We start from the raw sequence: 26,997 nt of genomic DNA on the forward strand, positions 1-26,997 counted from the left end.
TGTCTTCAAAGTGTTTAGTTTCAAAGGGTCCTTAACATGAGATCCAGTTCCCTGAAAAAGTCCTTCATCTTGAGGAAATTTTATGCATCCATGTTGAAGAGTTAAAAAATTGTGACAAAACTATCTAAAGACTTGGCAGCTCTCTGCAGGCATTCAAACCCAAAGTTAAGTATTGTCCCCATGAAAATAAAAGGTTGTTCATTTATTTTTTCAGCAGAAAAGTGCATATATGTCTATGTAGGTGTGTTTTCTCAAATGGCAAAAAATTCTGGAATAATTTGTAAGATAAGACTTTAAAATATACCTTTTTCCTGTCATTGCCAAGAGCTTGTTGTTGATGAAATGACAGTAAATTATTCTTATCCCTTTGCATGTGTTTTCATGTATCTGTGTGCCTTGTTTTAAGCAAATTCTCTAAGTTTATGTATTTGTCAGAGAGAATTGTTAGAGTGCTAGGACAGGGACTAAAGTTGTCTTCCATGTCCACCTCTATCCCATTTTTTAACTTTCAAGGTAGCTTATATCTCAGCATCCACAACAAACAAATACCGTTTCTCCTCTATGCTATGTACTTTTCTTGTCACAAAGTTTTGTTTATCTCTCCTTTCAATATTTTATCCAATTATTTTTTGAAGCTCTTAGAATCAGTTACATAGTAATATGCACTTAAGAAGTACTTTTTGAAATTAGCCGGGCATAGTGGTGCACGCCTGTAGTCCCAGCCACTCAGGAGGGTGAGGCAGGGGAATCGCTTGAACCCGGGATGTGGAGGTTGCAGTGAGCCGAGATCGAGCCACTGCACTCCAGCCTGGGTGACAAAGCGAGACTCTGTCTCAAAAAACAAGAAAAACAAGTATTTTTTGAAATTATAAAAAGAAATGTGCATCAGTATAAAAGAATATAATCATTGCCTACCCAAGTTTGTTACAAAAATTCAGAACCGTGTGTATCTCATTTACTTCACACACACTGTAAATAAAATACTACAAATATAAATAATTCCATTTCAGAGGCAATGTTTCATGATTAATAAAAGTAACATTAACTGATGAGAAGATGATGTAGGATTTATCCCATTTCTTATTTTCAGAGTTTTAAAACTATTTCGTTTACATGCTTTAAGATTTGTTTCATTGCTATCATAAATTCTTAGACCTTACTCCTATGGAAAAGGGCGATAGAAATAGAAATTTTTAGACCTGACTCCTATGGAAAGGGGCAATAAGAAGCATAAATTCTTGTCATAGGTATTGCACTTTTCCATAGGAGTCAGGCCTAAAAATTCATCGGTAGCTTAGGATAACCAATGGAGAAGATGCCCTTTGTTACACTTTTCCTATAGGATACATTTTTCTTCTCATTCCGTTTTTTTCTTTATACTTATGCATTTTTGTTTGCCACCCAATACTGTGTACTGTTGTCTACCTAGGATGTAAAGGGATTGGACTTCTCAACTAAATATGGTAAAAAAAAAATTATCTTTGCCACTTTTACAACTGTCATTCACAAATTATTAAACATGCTTTAAAAACCACATGCAATCCTAACATTTTCTGAGGAGGAAAATATACTTTATCTTGTGAAGAATATTTTATAGTCCCTTTTCTGTCTCTCATTTAGTAGGTGAAAAAAATAAACTTCTGTTTTCTTCATTGACCACAACAATGAGAGTCCACAATATGTTTTTTTTTTTTTAATTTTACTTTAAGTTCTGGGATACATGTGCAGAACATGCAGGTTTGTTACATAGGTATACATGTGCCATCGTGGTTTGCTGCACCTGTCAACCCGTCATCTAGGTTTTAAGCTCCGCATGCATTAGGTATTTGTCCTAATGCTCCCCCTCCTCTTTCCCCAACCCCCCAACAGGCCCCAGTGTGTGATGTTCCCCTACCTGTGTCCATGTGTTCTCATTGTTCAACTCCCACTTATGAGTGAGAACATGCAGTGTTTCATTTTCTGTTTCTGCGTTAGTTTGCTGAGGATAATAGTTTCCAGCTTCATTCATGTTGCTGCAAAGGACGTGAACTCGTTCTTTTTTATGGCTGCATAGTATTCCGTGGTGTATATGTGCCACATTTTCTTTATCCAGTCTATCATTGATGGGCATTTGGGTTGGTTCCACATCTTTGCTATTGTAAATAGTGCTGCAATAAACATACATGTGCATGTGTTTTTATAGTGGAATGATTTATCATCCTTTGGGTATATACCCAGTAATGGGATTACTGGGTCAAATGGTATTTCTGGTTCTAGATCCTTGAATCGCCACACTGTCTTCCACACTGGCTGAACTAATTTACACTCCCACCAACAGTGTAAAAGCGTTCCTATTGCTCTGCATCCTCGCCAGCATCTGTTGCTTCCAGACTTTTTAATGATCGCCATTCTAACTGGCATGAGATGGTATCTCATGAGAGCCCACAATATGTTTTATGCTAAATCCCAGAAAATAGCTGATACAAACTTATCTTTAAAATTTCTAGTTTTAGTGCTGTCTGTATGGCTAAAGTCATTAATTCTCCAACTCTTCTACTTGAAGCAGCGCCTCATGGGCTGCAGTAGGGAGGAGTTGGAAGGGTGGCCCAAACTGTAACGCATGCCAACCACCAGAATCACAAATGTTCTATGCTCTTAGGCTTTCAAATTCTCATTTTACTTTATTGTTCTTACATTCCTTAATATTTTGAATTAGATTACTTTAGATAATTTTTTAATTTTTTGTTTTCCTCTCAGGCTCCAGGGGGCTGGACATGTATTATATATCCTGGGCATAGTTACTGCCTGTGTCTTATGTATCTCATACCCCAAATTGAATAAACAAAAACTTTAAACTCCCTTCCTTCAGAAAAGACAATTGGTAACATTTTTGTGACCTTATACATTGTTAATAGCAGTTCATAATTGTTCATGTAGTTAACAGACATTGACTTGGTAAATTGAAATTATGCAAATAGTTGCAAATAGCTGAAGAATTTTGAAAACCTTCAAAAACTGAATTATACTCTCTTAATATTAGGTGGAACCACTTTGGCTATTGCTTAGGTCAAGGCCTGCATAAACTGTTCTTGTGCCCCAGCCATATCATATTAATGGAGCATGTGTGACAGAAAACAAAACATTCATATCTGGCAAACAAACTAATAATAGAACCTAGGGAAAAAAATGCACCAGGAAATATAAAATTTAAACATTTTTATACATAAGGATTTTTTCTGTGTTTGCCATTCAATGTTGGCTAAACTTCTAGAATTAAAGTCTTGTTTCCTTAATGTTGTAGTATAGTCATTATGACAATTGCACCATCTATTTCTTCTGGCCCTAGTGTCATCACAGATTAATAAAACCTGTCTCTTCCTTTAAAAATACAGTACTTAAAATCTAATTATATAATGTGCACATAAAACACATAAAGAGTAAACTGAACTCATAGAGTCACATGAAGAAGACTGTTCAGCCAGCTGGTGTTAAACTCCCATATTGAAAAATTGGTATTTCAATTTAAAGTTGCTTTAAATTCCTATATCAAATAAAAGTATTTGATGTCTACCTATGTCAGGACAGGTGAGCAGGACAGATAGCAGGATAGACAGAAGACTTAAATTTCCTGCAGGGCACAGAGGAGAACAAAAAAATCTTCTTTACATTAAAAAAATCCTTTCTCATTTTCATAATTAGTAATACTTTTTCATGTCTTCATGGAAAATGAGAACCCAGTTAGATTCGTTTTCTATAGGATTAAAGAAACACTATGTTCAATTAGTATTGTTCATCCGTAGTAGTATTATTTTAAGAGGTCTCATTACCAGTCACCTGGTTTCATATCTTTGGCAATAACAAGAGGTGGATTGTATGTTAATCACTATTGACCCAGTAGATCACTAGTTAATAATATTTATTATTATGTTACTCAGACTGTAGCAGGTATTGATTTAAAATTATATTAGAATTTAAAACCACATATATCTTAAATTCAAAAAGACCAAGACAAATAAGACCAAGGAGTTTACAGTTTTCTGGGAAAGAAGTAAAGTTTACAGTCATGTTACTAAAGTCTGGGTGCCTTCATGAATAATAAATGGACTATTTTATACATAAACAAGTACAGGAAAACTTCACACTTTTTACTCTTTTTCTGAAGAATTAACTGTTCTTATCCCTTTTCAGGACACTCCATTCTTTTATGCATTCATCAGGATTTCTGTCACCTTTCATCTCTTGTAATCTTTCTGTCTCTCCTTCACCCTTTCATTATGGTCCATAATTATATTCAAGTCTCTTCATCATAAAAACTTCACAAACACTTTCAAACCTATCTTTCTCTGAGCATCCTGTCCATTGTTTCTTGGCTTTAATCACAAAGCTTTTTGTGATTGTTTACTCTAGTTACCACTTTCTCTTTCTCACTTACCAGCCCAGTACAATGACTTTCCTCCCAGCATTTAGGGCCTGTCTTTTGTCCTCATCATACCTGACTTTCCTGAAATACGAAAATGACAATGTAATGGCATGCAAACAAATGAAATAGTGATAGTTTTCTAATGATTGTATTTTAAAAATATGGAAAATCTTGCAAAATTAAATGAGAATGTGACACAGTCCCACCATCAAAATGAGAAAGTGACACAGTCCTACTGTCAGAAAATGTTTAATATTCTCTTCGACAAGAAGACTTCTGCCACCCTCTCTTCCTCTCTAATAGTGACTCTTCTTTTGGTAGAAAACTAAAAAAAGAGCAACTCAGGCCTTCTGAGAAAGGAGTTGAACACAAATACAGGTCAACAGTATTATATTGTCATTGAACAAATTCAGGAATTACATTGCCTTGACAAAAGCAATTCTCTGTGTGTGTGTGTGTGTGTGTGTGTGTATATCTGTGTGTGTGTGACGGAGTCTTGGGTTGTCACCCAGACTGGAGTGCATTGGCGCGGTATTGGCTCACTGCAACCTCTGCCTCCTGATTCAAGCAATTCTCTTGCCTCAGCCTCCCGAGTAGCTGGGATTATAGGTGCTCACCACCACACCCGGCTAATTTTTGTATGACAAAAGCAGTTCTTGAAGGGAAAACATATAATTGCAGTGATACATTTTTATTCAGAATGTTTTCATAAGTCTTCTGTGTTCAGAATCTCTCTCTGTAGGCTGATAAAGTTACTGTTTCCTTTTTGACAGTCTGTTACCCTGCTTTCAGTACAAGTCTCTCCTGATTCATCACAGAAACTCTTTATGGTTCTGTAAAACTATCACTGTTCTAAAAAAATTGTTTTTAAAAATTTTTTATATTTACTGTGTGTATTTTAAAGGCACATAACCAACAAATAACAGACCCCTACTCCACCACTGAGATCCACTGGTCGAAATCAACTATTTCAACTCTTTTATCTGTTTACTTTATTAGTAAACTATATTTTTGAAATAACACTGTTATACTAATGTTCTTGGTTTTTCAATTTTAAATATTTTTTAAATTTATTATATATAGCATGTCACTCTTACAATGCGGCCACTACCACCTACTAAAAAATATGGGGGAAAGTTTCTGCTTTTCTCAGCATTTCCCCACTATAGCCATATCACAGTTTTAAGTGTGTCAGTGTTTCTTGTAAGTATCATCTGTAGCTAAACTATCCACCATTTCCTTCCTAAGATAACTATTTTCTTTTAGAGTGAATTGCCTCTTCGCTCTTTATTTGTTGGCTAAGTTTTCTGGATGCCTGTTACTAAATTTCCCCCAAACTTTCCAGTAGAACTAAAAACCTGCTCTAACTCTAGTGCATGTTAAGTATTCTGTCAGCCTCTGCTTAATCCTGTTTTGGTACTTCCATTAACAATTATTTAGATAATTTTCATTGCCTCTGTCTTGTTTCAGTCTACCATTTCTTAGATATGGGTCTATCTCTTTTTAAAGTTCTTTTCTTATAGTATGTTTAGGGTTTGTCACAAGTTCTTTCCGTCTTATTGAGCGCTTTTGGTGTGTTTGCATTCCCCTCCTCCAGTGAGATTGGGCTTCATCATAGGACTTTCTCTGGCCAGTGAATATGGGCAAAGGGACATGTGTTACTTCTGGCTAGAAGCTACAAGAGCCGGGGCATGCTTAGACCCCTTCTCTTTCCCTCCATCTTGGCTGCCAACAGTGTTCCAGACAATTGCAACATAGTATGACTCCCAGGATGATGCCAATGATGATGTAGAGCAGAACACAGACAGTGGACACAGAATTTGAGCAAGAAGTAAACTTTCATGTTTTAAGCCCCTGAGATTCGGGGACTAGCACAACATAAACTTGTTTCTCCTGTTTGATATATTTTCTCATTTTGGCAGAGCACACCATCGGTGGGTTCTTGAACAAGAGTCAGTGATAAATTTTTATGCATGTGTGAAAATGTGATTATTCTATCTTCATATGTTACTGATAGTTTGGCTGCATAGTTTGTTCTGAGTATTCTATTCTTCATAATTTTGAAACTGGCTGATGTTAAACTCTCATATTGAAAAATTGGTATTTCAACTTAAAGTTACTTTAAATTCGTATATCAAATGAAAGTATCTGATGTCTACATACATCAGGACAGGTGAGCAGGACAGGCAGAAAGCAGGATAGACAGAAGATTTACTTTCTTCCATCTTCTAGTTTTGCTGTTGAGAAGTCTAATCTCATTCAGATTCCTGATTCTTTATATAAACTTTTATTTTTTCCTGCAAGCCTCTTCCTTAACCCTGGTGTTCTAAAATTTAATGATGATATACTTGCTAGGTTATATTATGTATTATATTGTTCATCATATAATTAAATCCTAGAAAATATTTGAAATTCCTTTGATAATTTCTTGATACAATGTTTCTCATTCACTCTTTCTAAAATTCCTATTTACTAGATAGTGACCTTTAAAAGGAAGATCCTCTAATTTCTTTGTCTCCTTTGTTTTCTATCTCTGTCTTTTTGGTTGTACCTCATTATCTCTTTGTTCTATTTTCTGGGAGATATTTTCAACTCTTTTTTAATGTATACAATATCTTCATATGTCCCAGTTTTATTACTACATTTTTTTGGTGTTGCTTCATTGTCTCTCATTATTTGGGTTTCATTCCCTTCCCTCCAACCCCCACCTCCATTATCCCTTTCTAATATTGGTCTGTGTCTTTAATATAAGGTTGCAAACAGGATCATAGGTAGTGACTTTGAAAGTAATATTTGTCATTAAAGGGTCCTTTCTCTTTCTGTTTTCCTGAGGCAATGTATATACGTGGAGTGTTTTCTTTCAAATAATGCTATAATATTCTGCTTCTGTTCTTAAATTTTGATAGATCTTTTTCTGTCCCTTTCTATTGCCTCTTTTTGCAATCTTAAAAATGTGAATCCTTTCCAGCCTAGGAATACCTTCTCAGCCTAGATATTTGATCCTCGTTTTGTTTATACTTCTTAGGAGACTTTGCCCAATGTTATGCCTTACTCAATATTTCTATGTAAATAATTCTGAATTTCACATTCTTTTTTGATATACCATTGCCACTGTAAATCCAACAAATTCAGACAACAGTGTTTGTGATTTTCCCCAAATGTATTCTTCAGTATTTTCATAATAATATTACCATTATCCTGGTCATGTACATTGAAAACTTAATAATTTTTTTATCTCAACTTCTCTACATCAGCTCTTAAATTCAGATTCTCATCTAGTCTCGGCATCTCTTCTTTGTAACATCTCTTATTTTTTATTCCCTATTTGAAATACTCATTTAGACTCCTAATATTTCTCTTGTGGAAAGGCGTGTAACAACAATATCCTACAATTTCCTCTGGCTCAAAACTGACAAATTACTCTTCTAAAACACTGATTTATTGAATGAAGTCTTGTGATCATATACTTTCATTGGCTTTCTCAAACTTTAAACTGTAATGTCCTTAGCTTAGCTCAGACTTACTTCTACTGTTCCTCCATCAAAGGTTGTAAATTAGTACATCTCATTGGCTGTATGCAGATTCCATATAATTTTAGATTGATTCAAAGATAATTTTCTCTTGATTTTTTTAGACAAGGCATACTTTGGGATGCACATGTAATACCTAGATATGTACTCTGTGAAATATCTTACCGAAAAATCTTATTCATGTTAGAAGTTTATGGTGACTAAAGAGTCTTAGTGTACAAACACTATCACAGAAAATCAGGTGTAAGAAGTTGTAAGAATCTAGTCTTCATAGTGGCATGGGTCTTCGTATGTAAAAATCAATTTTCTCTTTAAGTTAATATCCCAATGAATATGAAGTATTTCTGAGAAATGTATGTATTTTGTAGGATCCTGATTTCCAATAAATACAGAATATAGAATGAGAATAACAAAGAGGCTTTAAATTTTGTAAACATTTGGGAAAAGAAATTTTCTGTAATTGTTTTATACAGAAATTGTTTGAAAGTTTCAGTAAGTTCTGTACAATGGAATAGCAGTCTTGTCATTTGGATAAATTTTAGTTAAAGATTATGATAGCTAGAACCCAGTGGCTTTGTACTATCCCCAAGTTACCATATCTCTTTTCACTAGTTGTTGATTTTCTCTCCTTGGGAGATTCAGGATTTGTTATTCTATAATTCAGCACACATTTACTTAGAGCAGAGAATATTTATATACACACAAGTACCTACTTTGGGGGACCATATTTATTTTCAGAATGAGTGTAAAGCCTTTAAAGGGAAAGGGATCAGGAGTAGAATGAAGGGTTGATACAGAGACTGTGTTTTTTGTGAAGCTGAACCCATGGCCAGGGCAGCTGATCACCTCTGTACAACCAACACCTTATTAGAAAAATCATAGGGGGAAAAATCTATAGAGGAGGGCCATGACTGGTCAATAAAGATTTTTCTATTAAAATGCATTAGGGAACTTTGAGGAGTATTTAGTTATAGAACCATTGGAAGGGATATAATTTTCAATCCAAAACACTGCTATTTACTATATATATATATATATATATATATATATATATATGTATATATATATGTGTATATATATGTGTATATATATATGTGTATATATGTATATATATGTATATATGTATATATATGTATATATGTATATATGTATATATATGTATATATGTATATATGTATATATGTATATATGTATATATATATGCACACACACACACAGATATATATATGTATTTAAAACCCCATATATATATTTAACCCCAAATATATATATTTAAATATATATTTAAAACCCCAAAATATGTATATATTTAAAACCCCAAAAATAGAAATCACTAGCATAAACCAAAAACAGTATATAAATTATATTCTAAATGTGCTTTAGGAACAGCATAAAATAAGCATATGCTTTTCTAATCCAAAATACTTCATTATAATCACTTATGTTCATAATGATGAGCCTTACCTTGAGAACTGCCAAATTCACAAATATAATCTAAATTAGCAGAGATTACATAGTTATCTATTACATATTTAGCCATAGGTTTACTACTTTTTTTTACAATTTTCAAAATAGTTAATTTGTAACTTTTTTCTAATTAGCATTAAATAATTAGCATTAAGTAATTTGGAATGTACATATAACTAGAACATTGCACTTCCAAGTCAATTTAAATATGTTAATGTTTCTAAGAGTTTATATTTCTAGTATTCATTTTATTATCTTAATGTAAAATTTCTATATGAGGAGCTAAAGTTTTCTATCCCAAATATTTCTAGTCCTTGTGTAGTCACATTAGGTCTCTTTTGGTCATTTGCTGTCTTTTGGAAAGAAGCTTTGTGCTCAGAGCCCCTTATACCTGCAGTCTCACTTTCCATCTCAGTTTGCATCCAGCCTGAAATTTTCTGGTGAATCAAAAGCACCTTATAAACTAAGTGATAAAACTAAAATTTGATTTTTTACAAAATAATATTCATTACAAAATCTTGTAAAGACATTTGGAAATAATATAATGTGGAAGTTATTAACAATATCAACATGATCCTTAAACCAGAAGTTACTTTCATTAAGTGTTCACTTTTCTCACGTTTGTTTTGGTTTCTCCTTTTAGGAATGGCAAAACTCTATTCAGAAGAATGCAGGACTTGCATTTATTGAGCTCATCAATGAAGGAAGGTAATTAATTTTACAATTTTAGACAACTAGTCAGTGTACATTTTATTCCACTGGGCAATTGCTCTTTCCTACCATCTGTTCCAAAAATGTAGAAGAAAATGTCTTTTAGTTAAATAATTTATCACACAGGTACTTAATTAATCTTTAACAAAGTTTAAAATGCTAAACATTTATTTTTGAAGAAAAAGCCGTGCATGAAATAAAGGGACAAACCTTATAAGGTTTGGTGAGATCTGAAGTACATTTTACTGAGTAGTAAAGTTGTTTTACACAGATCAAGTGAACCCAATCTGCAATCCCATCTGCCACTCCATCTGTTTTCAGAGCAGTGCTCAGTGTTTACTCCTTCAGCTTCTCCTCAGTCCATGTGAAACAGTTTTATCTGAACATGTCATGCATTCAATGTCCAACTGAAAATGTGAGGGATATTAAATATAGCAAATATATCTGTCTCGGTTAGAAATTTGTATATTCTATTATTTTTTTTTTCTTTAACAAAATTTTTATTTAATAAATGGTTAAAATCGCAGTGCCAAAAATACATTGACATTTAGCAATTTCACTGAAAGGAAGAAACTACAGAATGCACGGTTTCAGAAAGCTATTTTAAGTTATTTACAAATAAAGTATCTAAAACTCAAAAACAGGCTCTGTATGCTATATCTAGTTTATCCCTTCCTGAACAAAATTTCTGTTATTTGGGCAAATTCTTAAACCATGGTTTAAACCGTAATGGTTACAAACCACAAACACATCCATCCAAAGACTGAAACCGTTTTTATCCGGTCAGTGGCAAAACTGTTGAAAGGGCAATAGTTGAAGCTGTTGGGTTTTATATAGTGTGAACTCTGATAAATATTCCTACCAGGACTAAAACACAGCACGCTTTGCGGGCATGGCTGACTCACAAAGGTTGTATATTCTATTATTAAAACAATAAGTAAAATTACATTTGAACCCATTATTTACCATTTTGTGGTAAATAGTTGTTAATTATTATTTTTGCAGTGCTTTATTGGCAGTGGACACATTAAAACAGACGTAGCTGTCACCATGTGACATATATAGCTTCTATCAGCCCAAGACCTGCAAACTTTACAACTTGAATTTCTTGTATGATATAGTGCATTCTTTGGAATATGATGATTATTTGGCATGACCTATTCATTTCATATTTGAAACCAGCTTTCATTAGATTAATGAGGAAATAATGCTTACTGTATATAAAATTTATCTTTTCAAGTAGGGGAGTCATGAAAGAATAGTCCTTGAAAATTAGTTTCTATATGGTATAGATACCCAATTTTTAAAAATTAAATATCACTTAGTATTCATTTTTTATCACTGTATTATATTTTGAGAAATATCTTCTGTTTTTATAACAATTTATCTTATTTTATATTTCTCATTTTGATATTTTGTGACCTAATCATGTTAGCCAGTAGTACAGATCTAAAATTTAAAATAGGCTTTGCATTCACTGCAACACCAAAGTTGCAGGAAAATATCAGTTTTCTTTTATAACGCAAATAGTGTTTTACATAACAGCACTCACCATGTCTTACAGAGTTTCACTGTGATAAGAGTTACTAACAATTATTATCCGTTTTCAGGTGATGAATAAACAGAAAAAACTATTTGCTAAGGCTAATCATTGTCATTTAAGTTTTAGAAATAACTCTCAATGACATATCCACAATTATTTTGTTTCAACTGCGAAGTAAAAATATATATATATATAAAATTATTATTATCAGTAACTCTCCTAAGAGTTATCAGAATTGAACCTCTAAACACTTAAATTAAGATTATAGTAATAGGCTTAGAAAAGGAAGGGGGTGGAAAATTTGCTAATATCAGAGATTTTAAGCTTCTGATAATGCTTTTGTCAGTCAGTGGTAGAATTTGGGATTTGCTTTATATTAGGAAAGGTTAGAAATAAAGAAAGTAGTCACAATTTTAAAAAAAATTTCAATCTAGGTTGGGTGCAGTGGCTCACGCCTGTAATCCCAGCACTTTGGGAGGCCAAGTTGGGTGGATCACCTGAGGTCAGGAGTTTGAGACCGGTCTGGCTAACATGGTGAAACCCCATCTCTACTAAAAATACAAAAATTAGCCAGTTGTGGTGGCAGGTGCCCGTAATCCCAGCCACTCAGGAGGCTGAGGCAGGAGAATCACTTGAGCCCGGGAGGTGGAGGTTGCAGTGAGCCAAGATCGTGCCATTGCACTTCAGCCTGGGCGATGAGAGCGAGACTTCGTCCCCCCACCAAAAAAAAAAATTCAACCTATAATAATCTCTGAAATTCTGTCCATTATGTTCTCTGTGCTCTCCTAAGTTTCTGTTTCTACTCTTCATAGGACTCGTTCTTCCAAATAAATATGATTTTGGAATAAGGATTCAAACATGAATAGCTGTAAATATATAAGAACAAATCATGTATGCATGAGTGCAGCAAATGTCTGTTCAACACCCACTACATGTCAAATACTGCTATAAGAGTTAGGAATAGAGTTAGGAATAAGATATAAATGATTCCAGTTTCTTGGGGAAAGGCAAACATTAGATGAACACATACAGTAATACAAGGATACTGTGATAAAAGAGGTATAGGTAATGATGCAATCGTACCACAGAATAATTTACCTAGTCTGGAGGGATGCATTCCACTGAGTGGTGGGATTATCAAGGTTTTCAAAAGAGTACTTACCCAAAGGAATGCCATTTGAGAGATCATTAGGAGACAGCCAAGTGAGAAAAAAAAGTAGAAATACAATTATTGGCAGAGGGAATTGTATAGTGCAGAGGACTAGCGGCAAGAGAATAGTGAGACATGTTACTGGAGAGCTATTTCCAGTCAGCCAGCAGCTATTTAAATGCATGTTGTATGCCAGCCACATGGAGGCACAGGTCATTGGCAAAGGTCATGCCATGAAACTGTGCAAAGAATACTGGAGAATAACTGAAAATGTTTAGGTGTGGCCTGCAATGTGGAGGGTTTCACGGGCTCAAGACTTGAAGCAATACCAATCTGAGGTTCAGTAATCTTGTTGAAGAATATGGTGTCATGGACTAATAGTAGCTATGAGGATGGAAGAAGTGAACAAATTTGAAGTATCTTTTGGAAATTAAGTCACTATGATTGCTAATATATTGGATGGAAGAGGGGAAAGAAGGAATCAAGGATATTTTGATGTCAGCTTTAGTAACTAATAGTTTACAGTATAAGTATAATTCACTTGGCTAGGAGAGTACAGAAAGCGAGGTTTGAGTTGAGAGTTTTTCACTTTTGGGTTACACTGAACTTGTGGTACCAGTGAAATATCCAGGTGGAGATGTTCAATAGGCATGGGCATTTGAGTATTGAGCTCTCCAAAGAGAGAGCTGGCATGGAGATTTAGACTTATGAGTCTCCAGGTTATTCGTGGTAAACTGTAGAAAGGATTCAGATGTGATGCTCAGAGAGAGTGAATAGAGTGAGTGGAGAACCAGAGGCCCTGCTTTTACTCCTGTTTCTGCTGGGAATCCTCTTCTCCCACATCTTGACACGACTGGTTGTTTCTCGACTTTGAGGAATCAGCTTAAATGCCACCCTCTCACAGAGGCTCCCCTGACTATCTTATATAGTTGTTACACTCCCATGACATAATCCTCTTGTAACACATAATAACATCATCTCAAATGATCTGCTCTGTTTGCTTGTTTACATCTATTTCTCCTGCTAAAATGTGTTTTCCTTAAGATCTTGTGTCTTATTCATCGTCTTATTTGCTGCTATATCTCTATATTCTGGAATAGTGCCTAGCATGTAGTTAGCATGCTAATGAAATATCTATTTATTTGCCCTGTTAAATGAATATTTATTGAAAGCATAAAGAAAAGAATGGTGAGTGGAATGTTTAAGGAAGAATGTATGGTCAAAAAGAGGATTTTTAAGTTAGTACTAAAGGGACCACTGGGTTCAGCCACAAGGAGGTCATGATGATCTCATCCAAACTTAATGCTGGTGAACACCTGTGTGCTAAAGAAGCTGGGTGTAGATCCAAATCCTACCCTATTAGAGTTTACAGTCTAGTGTGGGCAACAGCCTTAGATTAAGTAATTGCAAGTTTAATAAATATGTGAAGGACAACTAGAGGATGCTATGGGAGCAGGCAACTGAGAGAGGTATTTTTTGAAAAAGTGATGATTTACCTAGAGTAGAGGGACAGAAGCCAGGTTGCTTTGAGTTGAAGAGCTAGCCCAAAATGAAATACAGACAGCAAGTACTTCGCTAAAGAAATTTGGCCAAGAAAGGGAAAGATAGAGTGGTTGCTGTAGGTGAATAAGGTTTAAATTTGGAGAGAGGGGTTACTTTTTAGAATGAAGAACCTATTTTTCAATTTTGATGGAAAAACGCAATATGGTGGGAGGGAAAGAAGGCAATATTGACAGCATAAACTCTCTGAGAGGGGTGCATTGAGATAGAAGGATTGGCCTTTAGTGGAAGAGCACTGAGAAAGGGTGAAGACAATTAAATTGGTGGCAGAATTCAGAAGAGATTTCATATGATGCCTTCTGTCTATGAAGTGGCAGGTAAGGTCATTTGCTGAGAATAAAAGGAATTGGGAGAGGGTATATACTATCTTTAGAAAAGTAAAGAATACTGAAAATAGCGATTGTAAAAGAATGGAGAAGAGAAAAAACTAAAGAAACCTGAGAGGCTTGCCAGGCAATTTGGGGGAGCCAATTGAGGTTGCTGTCTTTGATAGTGTAATGTTTTCTTCAGCAGTTCGCAGTTCAGAGAAGATAGGCATTTGCTTTAAGACATTGACTTCTCTTACTTTAGTGAAAATAATCTTTTCACTGAGGACCAACCCCTTCCTACCCCTAATCTGGATTAGGTACCTTTCTCTGTTCTCCCAGTACCTCAATTTTTCCCTGATTTATATTTACCTATCTATAGTGTTTATTTGTAGTGGATTTTTTATGGCTGTTCCACAATGCATAGTATAATACATAGTATCCATATGTTAATTCTACTGAGTTCAAATATCAGTTCTCCCATTGATAAGCTGTTAGACAACAGGCAAATCATAATCTTCCTCTGACATTGTTTCTCATCTGTAGAATACTGTAGCACCTTTCTTGCTCAGTTTCCCTGAAAGTTCAAAATAATATATATGATATTTATTACAGCTGCTATAAGTCCTTAAAATGGAAGTTTTTACTTTTGTTATTACATATAATATGTATTCAGAATTTTGCTTATTCCCACCTTTAGTTTGGATCATTTCTTTCAATTTAGACTTTTCTCTTTCACAAGCATGAACTGGGACTTCTGGTTCAAAAAGTCATCTTTAGGTAGCTGGGATGCAGTTCCAGTAAAAAGCCCAAAATTACTATTACTCTGTTTATCTTCCTACTGTATGTTGATGCCCATTATGTGCGAAGCACAAATTAAATATTTTATACATGCTTTTATCCCATTTGCATGCACATATAACATTTTTACAACTTTTTCATATGGCTTAATATGAAATATTTAAAAATTCACTTTATTTGGGTTGTTAGAATATCAGTCTTTAATTTGTCCTTATGGGAATGAAGATAAAAATCTTTAAGTAGAAATTATTATAAATGTTTATCCTACTTAACAGCTACACTTTTGAATACAATTCATCAATCATAGCTGGAGAAAGCAATTGTGCAGTTGTCTACAATTAACAGGACAAAAACAGTTGATAAATGTGCATCTGAATTAAAGTACTCCCTGGGACCGGCTGAAATTATACACTGGATCATTTAAAGGAATCTAACAAAGGATCTTTATAATTAAAACAAAGCAAGGTTAATGGGATGTAAAATTGCCTGTAATATCTTGGCAATAATGATTGGAATTTGAATTATTAAAATATGCATTGAAGAATAAGGCAAATAGGAAGTACTTATTTAAAATACAGAATTTGAGTGATCTTTTTAAATAAATTAATCATTTGCCTGAAATAAACCTTTGTCACTCTTTTAAAAGAATATAGAATTTAATTTTTGAATATTCATCAGAAAAGAACAGATAATATTTATGTTTAGCACTGAATTTAAGCTAGAGCTCTCAAGATTCTGATTTTTTGTTTTGTCCTTTAGAATAGGGGAAAATATACACCATGCATTTCTTAGGTTTTTAAGAGGAGAAGCATATTGCATCCAAGTATAATTTTTTAGTGATTGTATGGCACCAATTTGAATGTATTCTTTAATTTAACAAATGCTAGTTAATATTTTAACCAACAAGCATTGGTTTGCTTGAGTTTATTTCTCTTATGTCTTTGATTTGGCAAAAACTGTATTTAAAAATAAAACAAACCAAAAAAAACTTCCAAATCTGTAAAATAAGAAACTATTTCCTAAAGTAGATATTCTGGTTTAATTTGGAGCCAATAATCTCTGGAAGCTACTGGAAAACAGAAGTTTCTTTTCCATGTGTTTTCTTATAAAATCTGACCTATGCCAGGTTTTCTTTAACATTCTTTTTTAATTATTATTATTTTCTAATATTATACTTTAAGTTCTAGATACATGGGCAGAACATGCAGGTTTGTTACATAGGTATACACGTGTCATGGTGGTTTACTGCACCCATCTACCCGTCATCCACATTAGGTATTTCTCCTAATGCTATCCCTCCCCTAGTCCTCCACCCCCCAACAGGCCCCAGTGTGTGATGTTCCCCTCCCTGAGTCCATGTGTTCTCATTGTCACCTCCCACTTATGAGTGAGAACATGCAGTGTTTGGTTTTCTGTTCCTGTGTTAGTTTGCTGAGAATGATGGTTCCCAGCTTCATCCATGTCCCTGCAAAGGACATGAACTCATCTTTACTTTATGGCTGCATAGTATTCCATGGTGTATATATGCCACATTTTCTTTATACAGTCTATCATTGATGGGCATTTAGGTTAGTTCCAAGTCTTTGCTATTGTCAACAGTGCTGCAGTAAACATATGTGTGCATGTGTGTTTATAGTAGAATGATTTATAATCCTTTGGGTATATACCCAGTAATGGGATTGCTGGGTCAAATGGTATTTCTGGTTCTAGATCCTAGAGGAATTGCCACACTGTCTTCCACAGTGGTCAAACTAATTTACACTCCCACCAACAGTGTAACAGCGTTCCTATTTCTCCATATCCTCTCCAGGATCTGTTGTTTCCTGACTTTTAAATGATTGCCATTCTAAATGGTGTGAGATGGTATCTCATTGTGATTTTGATTTGCATTTCTCTAATGACGAGGGATGATGAGTTTTTTTTCATATACTTGTTGACCACATAAATGACATCCTTTGAGAAGTATCTGTTCATATCCTTCGCCCTCTTTTTGATGGGTTTTTTTGTTTTATTTCTTGTAAATTTGTTTAAGTTCCTTGTAGATTCTGGATATTAGCTCTTTGTCAGATGGATAGATTGCAAAAATTTTCTCCCATGCTGTAGGTTGCCTGTTCCCTGTGATGATAGTTTCTTTTGCTGTGCAGAAGCTCATTAGTTTCCTTAGATCCCATTTGTCAATTTTGGCTTTTGTTGCCATTGCTTTTGGTGTTTTAGTCGTGAAGTCTTTGCCCATGCCTATGTCCTGAAAGGCATTGCCTAGGTTTTCTTCTAGGGTTTTTATGGTTTTACGTTTAAGTCTTTAATCCATCTTGAGTTAATTTTTGTATAAGGTGTAAGGAAGGGGTCCAGTTATAGTTTTCTGCCTCTGGCTAGCCAGTTTTCCCAGCACCATTTATTAAATGGGGAATCCTTTCCCCATTGCTTGATTTTTGACAGGTTTGTCAAAGATCAGATAGTTGTAGATGTGTGGCATTATTTCTGAGGCCTCTGTTCTATTCCGTTGGTCCATATATCTGTTTTGGTACCAGTACCATGCTGTTTTGGTTACTGTAGCCTTGTAGTATAGTTTGAAGTCAGGTAGCATGATGCCTCCAGCATTGTTCTTTTTGCTTAGGATTGTCTTGGCTATACGGGCTCTTTTTTGGTTCCATATTAAATTGAAAGTAGTTTTTTCTAATTATGTGAAGAAAGTTAGTGGTAGCTTGATGGGGATAGCACTGAATCTATAAATTACTTTGGGCAATATGGCCATTTTCACAATATTGATTCTTCCTATCCATGAGCATGGAGTGTCTTTCCATTTGTTTCTGTTCTCTCTTATTTCCTTGAGCAGTGGTTTATAGTTCTCCTTGAAGAGGTCCTTCACATCCCTTGTGAGTTGTATTCCTAGGTATTATCTTAGTAGCAGTGGTGAATGGGAGTTCACTCATGATTTGGCTCTCTGTTTGTCTATTACTGGTGTATAGGAATGCTTGAGATTTTTGCACATTGATTTTGTATCCTGAGACTTTGCTGAAGTTGCTTATCAGCTTAAGGAGATTTGGGGCTGAGACGATGGAGTTTTCTAAATATATAATCATGTCATCTGCAAATAGAAACGATTTGACTTTCTCTCTTCCTATTTGAATACGCTTTATTTCTTTCTCTTGCCTGATTGCCCTGGCCAGAACTTCTGATACTATGTTGAAGAGGAGTGGTGAGAGAGGGCATCCTTGTCTTGTGCTGGTTTTCAAAGGAAATGCTTCCAGTTTTTGCCCATTCGGTATGATATTGGCTGTGGGTTTGTCATAAATAGCTCTTATTATTTTGAGATACATTCCATCAATACCTAGTTTGTTGAGAGTTTTTTGCTTGAAGGGGTGTTGAATTTTATCAAAGGTCTTTTTGACATCTATTGAGATAATCATGTGGTTTTTGTCATTGTTTCTGTTTATGTAATGGATTACATTTATTGATTTGCATGTGTTGAACCGGCGTTGCATCCCAGAGATGAAGCCAACTTGATCGTGGTGGATAAGCTTTTTGATGTGCTGTTGGATTCCGTTTGCCAGTATGTTATTGAGGATTTTTGCATTGGTGTTCATCAGGGATATTGGCCTGAAATTTTCTTATTTTGTTGTGTCTCTGCCAGGTTTTGGTATCAGGATGATGTTGGCCTCATAAAATGAGTTAGGGAGGAGTCCCTCTTTTTCTACTGTTTGGAATAGTTTCAGAAGGAATGGTACCAGCTCCTCTTTGTACCTCTGGTAGAATTCGGCTATGAATCCGTCTGGTCCTGGGCTTTTTTTGTTGTTGTTGGTAGGCTATTACGGCTTCAATTTCAGAACTTGTTATTGGTCTATTCAGGGATTCGACTTCTTCCTGGTTTAGTCTTGGGAGGGTGTATGTGTCCAGGAATTTATCCATTTCTTCTAGATTTTCTAGTTTATTTGCATAGAGGTGTTTATAGTATTCTCTGATGGTAGTTCGTATTTCTGTGGGATCAGTGTGATATCCTCTTTATCATTTTTTACTGTGTCTATTTGATTCTTCTCTGTTTTCTTTTTTATTATTCTGGCTAGAGGTCTGTCTATTTTGTTAATCTTTTCAAAAACCAGCTCCTGGATTCATTGATTTTTTTGAAGGGTTTTTTGTGTCTCTATCTCCTACAGTTCTGCTCTGATCTTATTTATTTCTTGTCTTCTGCTAGCTTTTGAATTTGCTTTTGCTTCTTTAGTTCTTTCAATTGTGATGTTAGGGCATTGATTTTAGATCTTTCCCGCTTTCCATTGTGGGCATTTAGTGCTATAAATTTCCCTCTAAACACTGCTTTAGCTGTGTCCCAGAGATTCTGGTACATTGTGTCTTTGTTCTCATTGGTTTCAAAGAATTATTTATTTCAGCCTTCATTTCGTTATTTACCTGGTAGTCATTCAGGAGCAGGTTTTTCAGTTTCCATGTAGTTGTGTGGTTTTAAGTGAGTTTCTTAATCCTGAGTTCTAATTTGATTGCACTGTGGTCTGAGAGACTGTTATGATATCCATTCTTTTGCATTGGCTGAGGAGTATTTTACTTCCAATTATGCAGCCAATTTTAGAATAAGTGCAGTGTGGTGCTGAGAAAAATATATATTCTATTCATTTGGGTTGGAGAGTTCTGTAGATGTCTATTAGGTCCACTTGGTCCAGAGCTGAATTTAAGTCCTGAACATCCTTGTTAATTTTCTCTCGTTGATATGTCTAATATTGACAGTGGGGTGTTAAAGTCTCCCACTATTATTGCGTAGGAGTCTAAGTCTCTTTGTAAGTCTCTAAGAACTTGCTTTATGAATCTGGGTGCTCCTGTATTGGGTGCATATATGTTTAGGATAGTTAGCTTTTCTTGTTGCATTGATCCCTTTACCATTACATAATTCCCTTCTTTGTCTGTTTTGATCTTTGTTGGCTTGAAGTCTGTTTTATCAGGGACTACGATTGCAACCTCTGCTTTTTTTTTTGCTTTCCATTTGCTTGGTAAATAATCCCCCATCCCTTTATTTTGAGTCTATATGTGACTTTGCACGTATGATGGGTCTCCTGAGTACAGCACACTGATGGGTCGTGACTCTTTATCAACTTTGCCAGTCTGTGTCTTTTAATTGGGGCATTTAGCCCATTTAACATTTAAGGTTAATATTGTTATGTGTGAATTTGATCCTGTCATTATGACGCTAGCTGGTTAATTTGCCCATTAGTTGATGCTGTTTCTTCATAGTGTCGATGGACTTTACAATTTGGTATATTTTTTGCAGTGGCTGGTACCAGTTTTTCTTTTCCATATTTACTGTTTCCTTCGGGAGCTCTTGCAAGGCAGACCTGGTGGTGACAAAATCTCTCAGCATTTGCTTTTCTGTAAAGGATTTTATTTCTCCTTTGCTTATGAAGCTGAGTTCGACTGGATATGAAATTCTGAGTTGAAAATTCTTTACTTTAAGAATGTTGAATATTTGCCTCCACTCTCTTCTGGCTTGTAGGGTTTCTGCTGAGAGATCCGCTGTTAGTCTGATGGGGTTCCCCTTGGGGTAACCTGACCTTTCTCCCTGGCTGCCCTTAACATTTTTTCCTTCATTTCAACCTTGGTGAATCTGAAGTTTATGTGTCTTGGGGTTGCTCTTCTCGAGGAGTATCTTTGTGATGTTCTCTGTATTTCCTGAATTTGAATATTGGCCTGTCTTGCTAGGTTGGGGAAGTTCTCCTGGATAATATCCTGAAGAGTGTTTTCTAACTTGGTTCCGTTTTCCCCATCACTTTCAGGTACACCAGTCAAACGTAGGTTTGGTCTTTTCACATGGTCCCACATTTCTTGGAGGCTTTGTTCACTGCTTTTAATTCTTTTTCTCTAATCTTGTCTTCACACTTTATTTCATTAAGTTGATCTTCAATCTCTCATATCCTTCTGCTTGATGTATTCGGCTATTGATACTTGTGTATGCTTCATGAAGTTCTCGTGTTGTGTTTTTCAGCTGTGTCAGGTCATTTGTGTTCTTCCCTAAACCGGTTATTCTAGTTAGCAATTCCTCCAACGTTTTTTTCGAGATTCTTAGCTTCCTTGCACTGGGTTAGAAAATGCTGCTTTAGCTTGGAGGAGTTTGTTATTGCCCACCTTCTGAAGCCTGCTTCTGTCAATTTGTCAAACTCATTCTCCATCCAGTTTCGTTCCCCTGCTGGCGAGGAGTTGTGATCCTTTGGAGAAGAGGCATTCTGGTTTTTGGAATTTTCAGCCTTTTTCAGCTGGTTTTTCCTCATCTTCGTGGATTTATCTACCTTTGGTCTTTAATGTTGTTGACCTTCAGTTGAGGTTTTTGAGTGGGCGTCCTTTTTGTTGATGTGGATGCTATTCCTTTCTGTTTGTTAGTTTTCCTTCTAAGAGTCAGACTTCTCTGCTGTGGGTCTGCTGGAGTTTGCTGGAGGTCCACTCCAGTCCCTGTTTGCCTGGGTATCACCAGCAGAGGCTGCAGAACAGCAAAGATTACTGCCTGTTCCTTCCTCTGGAAGCTTTTTCCCAGAGTGGCACCTGCCATATGCCAGCTGGAGCTCTCCTGTATGAGGTGTCTCTTGACCCCTGCTGGGAGGTGTTTCCTTCAGTCAGGAAGCACTGTGGTCAGGGACCCACATGAGGAGGCACTCTGTCCCTTAGCAGAGCTGGAGCACTGTGCTTGGAGATCTGCTGCTCTTTTCAGAGCCAGTGGGCAGGAACATTTAAGTCTGCTGAAGCTGCACCCACAGCCGCCCCTTCCCCCAGGTGCTCTGTCCCAGGAAGATGGGAGTTTTATCTATAAGCTCCTGACTGGGGCTGCTGCCTTTCTTTCAGAGATACTCTGCCCAGAGATGAAGAATCTAGAGAGGCAGTCTGGCTACAGTGGCTTTGCTGAGCTGCGGAGGGCTCCGCCCAGTTGAAACTTCCCGGTGGCTTTGTTTACACTATGCAGGGAAAACCACCTACTCAAGCCTCAGTAATGGTGGACACCCCTCCCTCCACCAAGCTAGAGGGTCCCAGGTTGACTTCAGACTGCTGTGCTGGCAGCGAGAATTTCAAGCCAGTGGATCTTAGCTTGCTGAGCTCTGTTGGGGTGGGATCTGATGAGCTAGACCACCTGGCTTCCTGGCTTCAGCCCCCTTTGCAGGGGAGTGAACGGTTCTGTCTCGCTGGCATTCCAGGCACCACTGGGATGTGAAAAAAAAACTCCTGCAGCTAGCTCAGTGTCTGCCCAAACGGCTGTCCAGTTTTGTGCTTGAAACCCAGGGCCCTGGTGATGTAGGCACCCAAGAAAATCTCCTGGTCTGTGGGTTGCAAACACTGTGGGAAAAGTGTAGTATCTGGGCCGGAGTCCACCGTTCCCCATGGCACAGTCCCTCACGGCTTCCCTTGGCTAGGGTAGGGAGTTCCCTGACCCCTTGTGCTTCCCAGGTGAGGCGATGCCCCACCCTGCTTCAGCTCACCCACCGTGGACTGCACCCACAGTCTAACCAGTCCAATCACCCACTGCCTAGTCATCCCAATGAGATGAGCTGGGTACCTCAGTTGGAAATGCAGAAATCAACCGCCTTCTGGGTTTATCTCGCTAGGAGCTGCAGACTGGAGCTGTTCTTATTCGGCAAGATGGCCAGCCAACGCCCCATGCTCCTTTTTTGCCACTCTTTTATTCACTTTATACATCTAATTAGTTAATAAACATACTGAGTTTCATACGTGAAACATGACTTTTACAAAATTACCTGCATACATCTTAAATAGTATTTCTTATTTATACATATAACCTTAGACATTGATGATAAATAAAATGTTATTTATCTAAAACTAAAGTCCCATTTAATAATGGTTAGATTTTAAGTAATAAGGAAATATATTTCAAAATTTGTGATCATAAATTGTATTTGAATTATATTTTGTTTTTTGAGACAGGGTCTCACTCTGTCATCCAGGTTGGAGTGCAGTGGCATGATCTCGGCTCACTGCAACCTCCATTTCCAAGGCTCAAGCAATCCTCCCAACTCAGCCTCCCAAGTAGCTGGGACTATAGGCACGAGCCACCATGCCCAGCTGCATTTTGTATTTTTTGTAGAGATGGGGTTCTGCCATGTTGCCCAGTCTGGTCTCGAACTCCTGAAATTAAGTGATCCACCTGCCTCAGCCTCCCAAAGTGCTGGGATTACACGCATAAGCCACCATGCCCAGCCTAAATCACATTTTTAACCATGTTTAAAATATATCTACAATTTGACCCAGCCATCCCATTACTGGGTATATACCCAAAGGACTATAAATCATGCTGCTATAAAGACACATGCACACGTATGTTTACTGCGGCATTATTCACAATAGCAAAGACTTGGAACCAACCCAAATGTCCAACAATGATAGACTGGATTAAGAAAATGTGGCACTTATACACCATGGAATACTATGCAGCCATAAAAAAATGATGAGTTCATGTCCTTTGTAGGGACATGGATGAAATTGGAAATCATCATTCTTAGTAAACTATCGCAAGAACAAAAAACCAAACACCACATATTCTCACTCATAGGTAGGAATTGAACAATGAGAACACATGGACACAGGAAGGGGAACATCACACTCTGGGGCCTGTTGTGGGGTGGGGGGAGGGGGAGGGATAGCATTGGGAGATATACCTAATGCTAGATGACGAGTTAGTGGGTGCAGCACACCAACATGGCACATGTATACATATGTAACTAACCTGCACATTGTGCACATGTACCCTAAAACTTAAAGTATAATAATAAATAAATAAATAAATAAAATAAAATATATCTACTTATGTACACATATTATTTTTTCTCTTCTGAGCACAAGTTTAAATATACTTTTCTCCTTATTACATTAAGAAACATAACAATTTAAAAGTGAATCAATGAGAAAGTTACCTATTTTGGTGTATTCATTTCTATGCCATATTTTTCCATTTCTTATTTCTTAGAGACACATATCATATTTTTTTTGTTCTTGGTTTACTCATTGCATACAAAAGCCAGTCAAGATGTACATAATCTGTGCCTTTATTAGAAAACTTTTATTTAATTTCCATACCATTCTGATAGGTAAGATCAACTTGGCAATAGAGGAGCCTAGAGTTGGCCTTTGCATTTGTGGCTGGTGTATTGTGACATAATGGATGCAGGTAGAAGTGAATTAACAGGGGCTACACTAACAGGAAGGTATAGATGTTGTGCACGTAGCCAAAGGATACACCAAAGGTGAGAAGTGAGGAGATAAGATGAGCAGGACAGATAGGACAAGAATACAGGCATGACCTGTGTCATAGATTTTAGCCTATGCAAGAGTCCCAAAATGCCAGGAGAATTAGAATATTGAGTTACATGGACTGATTAGTTCATATGTTGGTAAAATAAGAACACGTAACTGATTTATATTCCTCATGTCCTGTTGTACAGATCAATATTTGAAAAACCAGAATATTTCTTCTATAACATGTCTCTTATAAAGATCCAGTCCCAGCCAAACAAGGATTAAGAAAAACTTATTGTTACTGTTTTTTAATTACAAAGGTAATATAATACATGGACATGTATTCCTGAAGTTCTTAGCACTTATTAATTACAATGTATCTTAAAAAACAAAACCTGAATAAATACTTAGAAAACACTCATTATGTAGTTAGTTTTAGCAGGGACATAAATACATTTTGCACATATTCCTCATCTACGAGTAACTCATAATTGAGAGGTTAGGATTTATGTGCAGAAAAAAATTAAACAGTTCCAAAATATTATAGTCAATATATGACTGTTTTCAAGCTAAATGATATAAAAATGTCAGGGACTTTAGAAGGAGCTATTTCATTGGGCAATAATGATTGCAGAAGGTTTCTTTTGAGAGAGAGGACCTAAGCAATATAAGCACAATGTGTGGAATCCAAACAAACAAACAAAAAATCATCCCTGGCTTTTTTGGTGAAAATTAAAATTTAGAACAACAGAAAATACCTTTTGAGTTTCATTATCTAATGAAGCAAATGTGGTCCTAATTTTAGTTGGAAAAGATAAAATCTGTCTTTGAAGTTTATATTATTTAAATAGTCAAAGTTTTCCTGATTTTTTAGTGCTAACCAGTAATTTGCTTAATTCTTAATGCTGATCGGGTTTTATAACATTAATCTCTATATCAGAAAGAGTATGAAAATTTTACATATTTTTCTTTTTTAAAAGAATTACTCATAAAGCAGACTTCAAAACAATCGATTATACCAAAGTCTAGATTTCCGTATTCATAGACCAGTATAAGAAAAACAATGGACTTAACTTACTAAAGAACTGGGTTGATGTTAAACAATAAATATTTCTTTTTAGTTTTTTAAAATTTTTAATTTTTGTGGGTACATAATTGTATGTATACAAGATATATAAGATGTTTTGATACAGGGATACAATGCATAATAATCACATCAGGGTAAATGGGGATGAAACATTATTATTTAAAGAATAAATAATACCAATATACTGAAAGTCTTCCAGAAATAGAAGAGGAGGTAATGCTTTATAGTTCCTTTTATGAGATATCGTAATACTGATACCAACGCCAGAAAAAGACATAACAAGAAATGAAATTACAGACTCATATCCATCATAAGCATAGGTGCAATAATTTTTAACAAGGTTTGGCAAATCAAATCTAGCAATATATGAAAAGGATTATATCATGAAAAAGGTAATGATTCTCCAAAATGCAAAGTGTATATAACATTCAAGACGATTTATCATAAATTTTTTCCCAAAGCTAATGTCTAGAAAGGTATTTCCTGTGTTTTCTCCTAGGATTCTTACATTTTGAGATTAGATATAATTTAAATTTTTAATCTTTCTTTAGTTAATTTTTATATATGGTGAAAGGTAGGGGTTCAGTTTCAACTTTCTCTATTTGGCTAGGTAGCTATCCTAGCACCATTTATTGAATAAGGAGTCCTTTCTCCATTGCTTATTGTTGTCAACTTTGTTGACAGTCAGATGCCTGTAGGTGTACAGCTTTATCTCTGGGTTTTTTATCCCCTTCCATTGGTTTGTATGTGTGTTGTACCAACAACACCATGCTGTTTTGGTTACTGTTGACTTATAGTTTGAAGTTGTGTAATGATGCCTTTGGCTTTGTTCTTCTTGCTTAGGGTTGCTTTGGCTGTTCAGGCTCTCTTTTAGTTCCATATGAATTTCAGAATAAGTTTTTCTAAATCTGTGAAAAAATGACATTGGTAGTTTGATAGGAATAGTGTTGAATCTGTAGTATGGCTATTTTAATGATATTCATTCTCCCAATCCATGAACATTGGATGTGTTTCCATTTGTTTGTGTCATCTATGATTTCTTTCAGCAGTGGTTTATTGTTATCCTTGTAGAGATTTTTCACCAAATTAGATGTATTCCTAGATATTTTTGGGAGGGAAAGGGGAACTATTATAAATGGGATTGCATTTTTTATTTGGCTCAAAACTTGAATGTTATTGGTGTGTAGAAATGCTACTGATTTTTATATATTGATTT

The 26,997-nt window shown here is 35.8% G+C and overlaps 1 protein-coding gene across 13 annotated transcripts in view; it reads left to right on the forward strand.

Moving 5' to 3' along the window:
- NBEA (neurobeachin) overlaps nt 1-26,997 on the forward strand; it is a 730,467-nt gene that overhangs the window by 357,219 nt on the left and 346,251 nt on the right. For all 13 annotated transcript variants that reach the window (XM_047430271.1, NM_001385012.1, XM_006719803.4 and 10 more), the window contains one exon: nt 10,040-10,104. In XM_047430271.1, the coding sequence (XP_047286227.1) occupies nt 10,040-10,104 (65 nt within the window). The remainder of the gene's footprint in view (nt 1-10,039; nt 10,105-26,997) is intronic.

This window comes from Homo sapiens, chromosome 13, assembly GCF_000001405.40.
Source record: "Homo sapiens chromosome 13, GRCh38.p14 Primary Assembly".
NCBI lineage: Eukaryota > Metazoa > Chordata > Mammalia > Primates > Hominidae > Homo > Homo sapiens.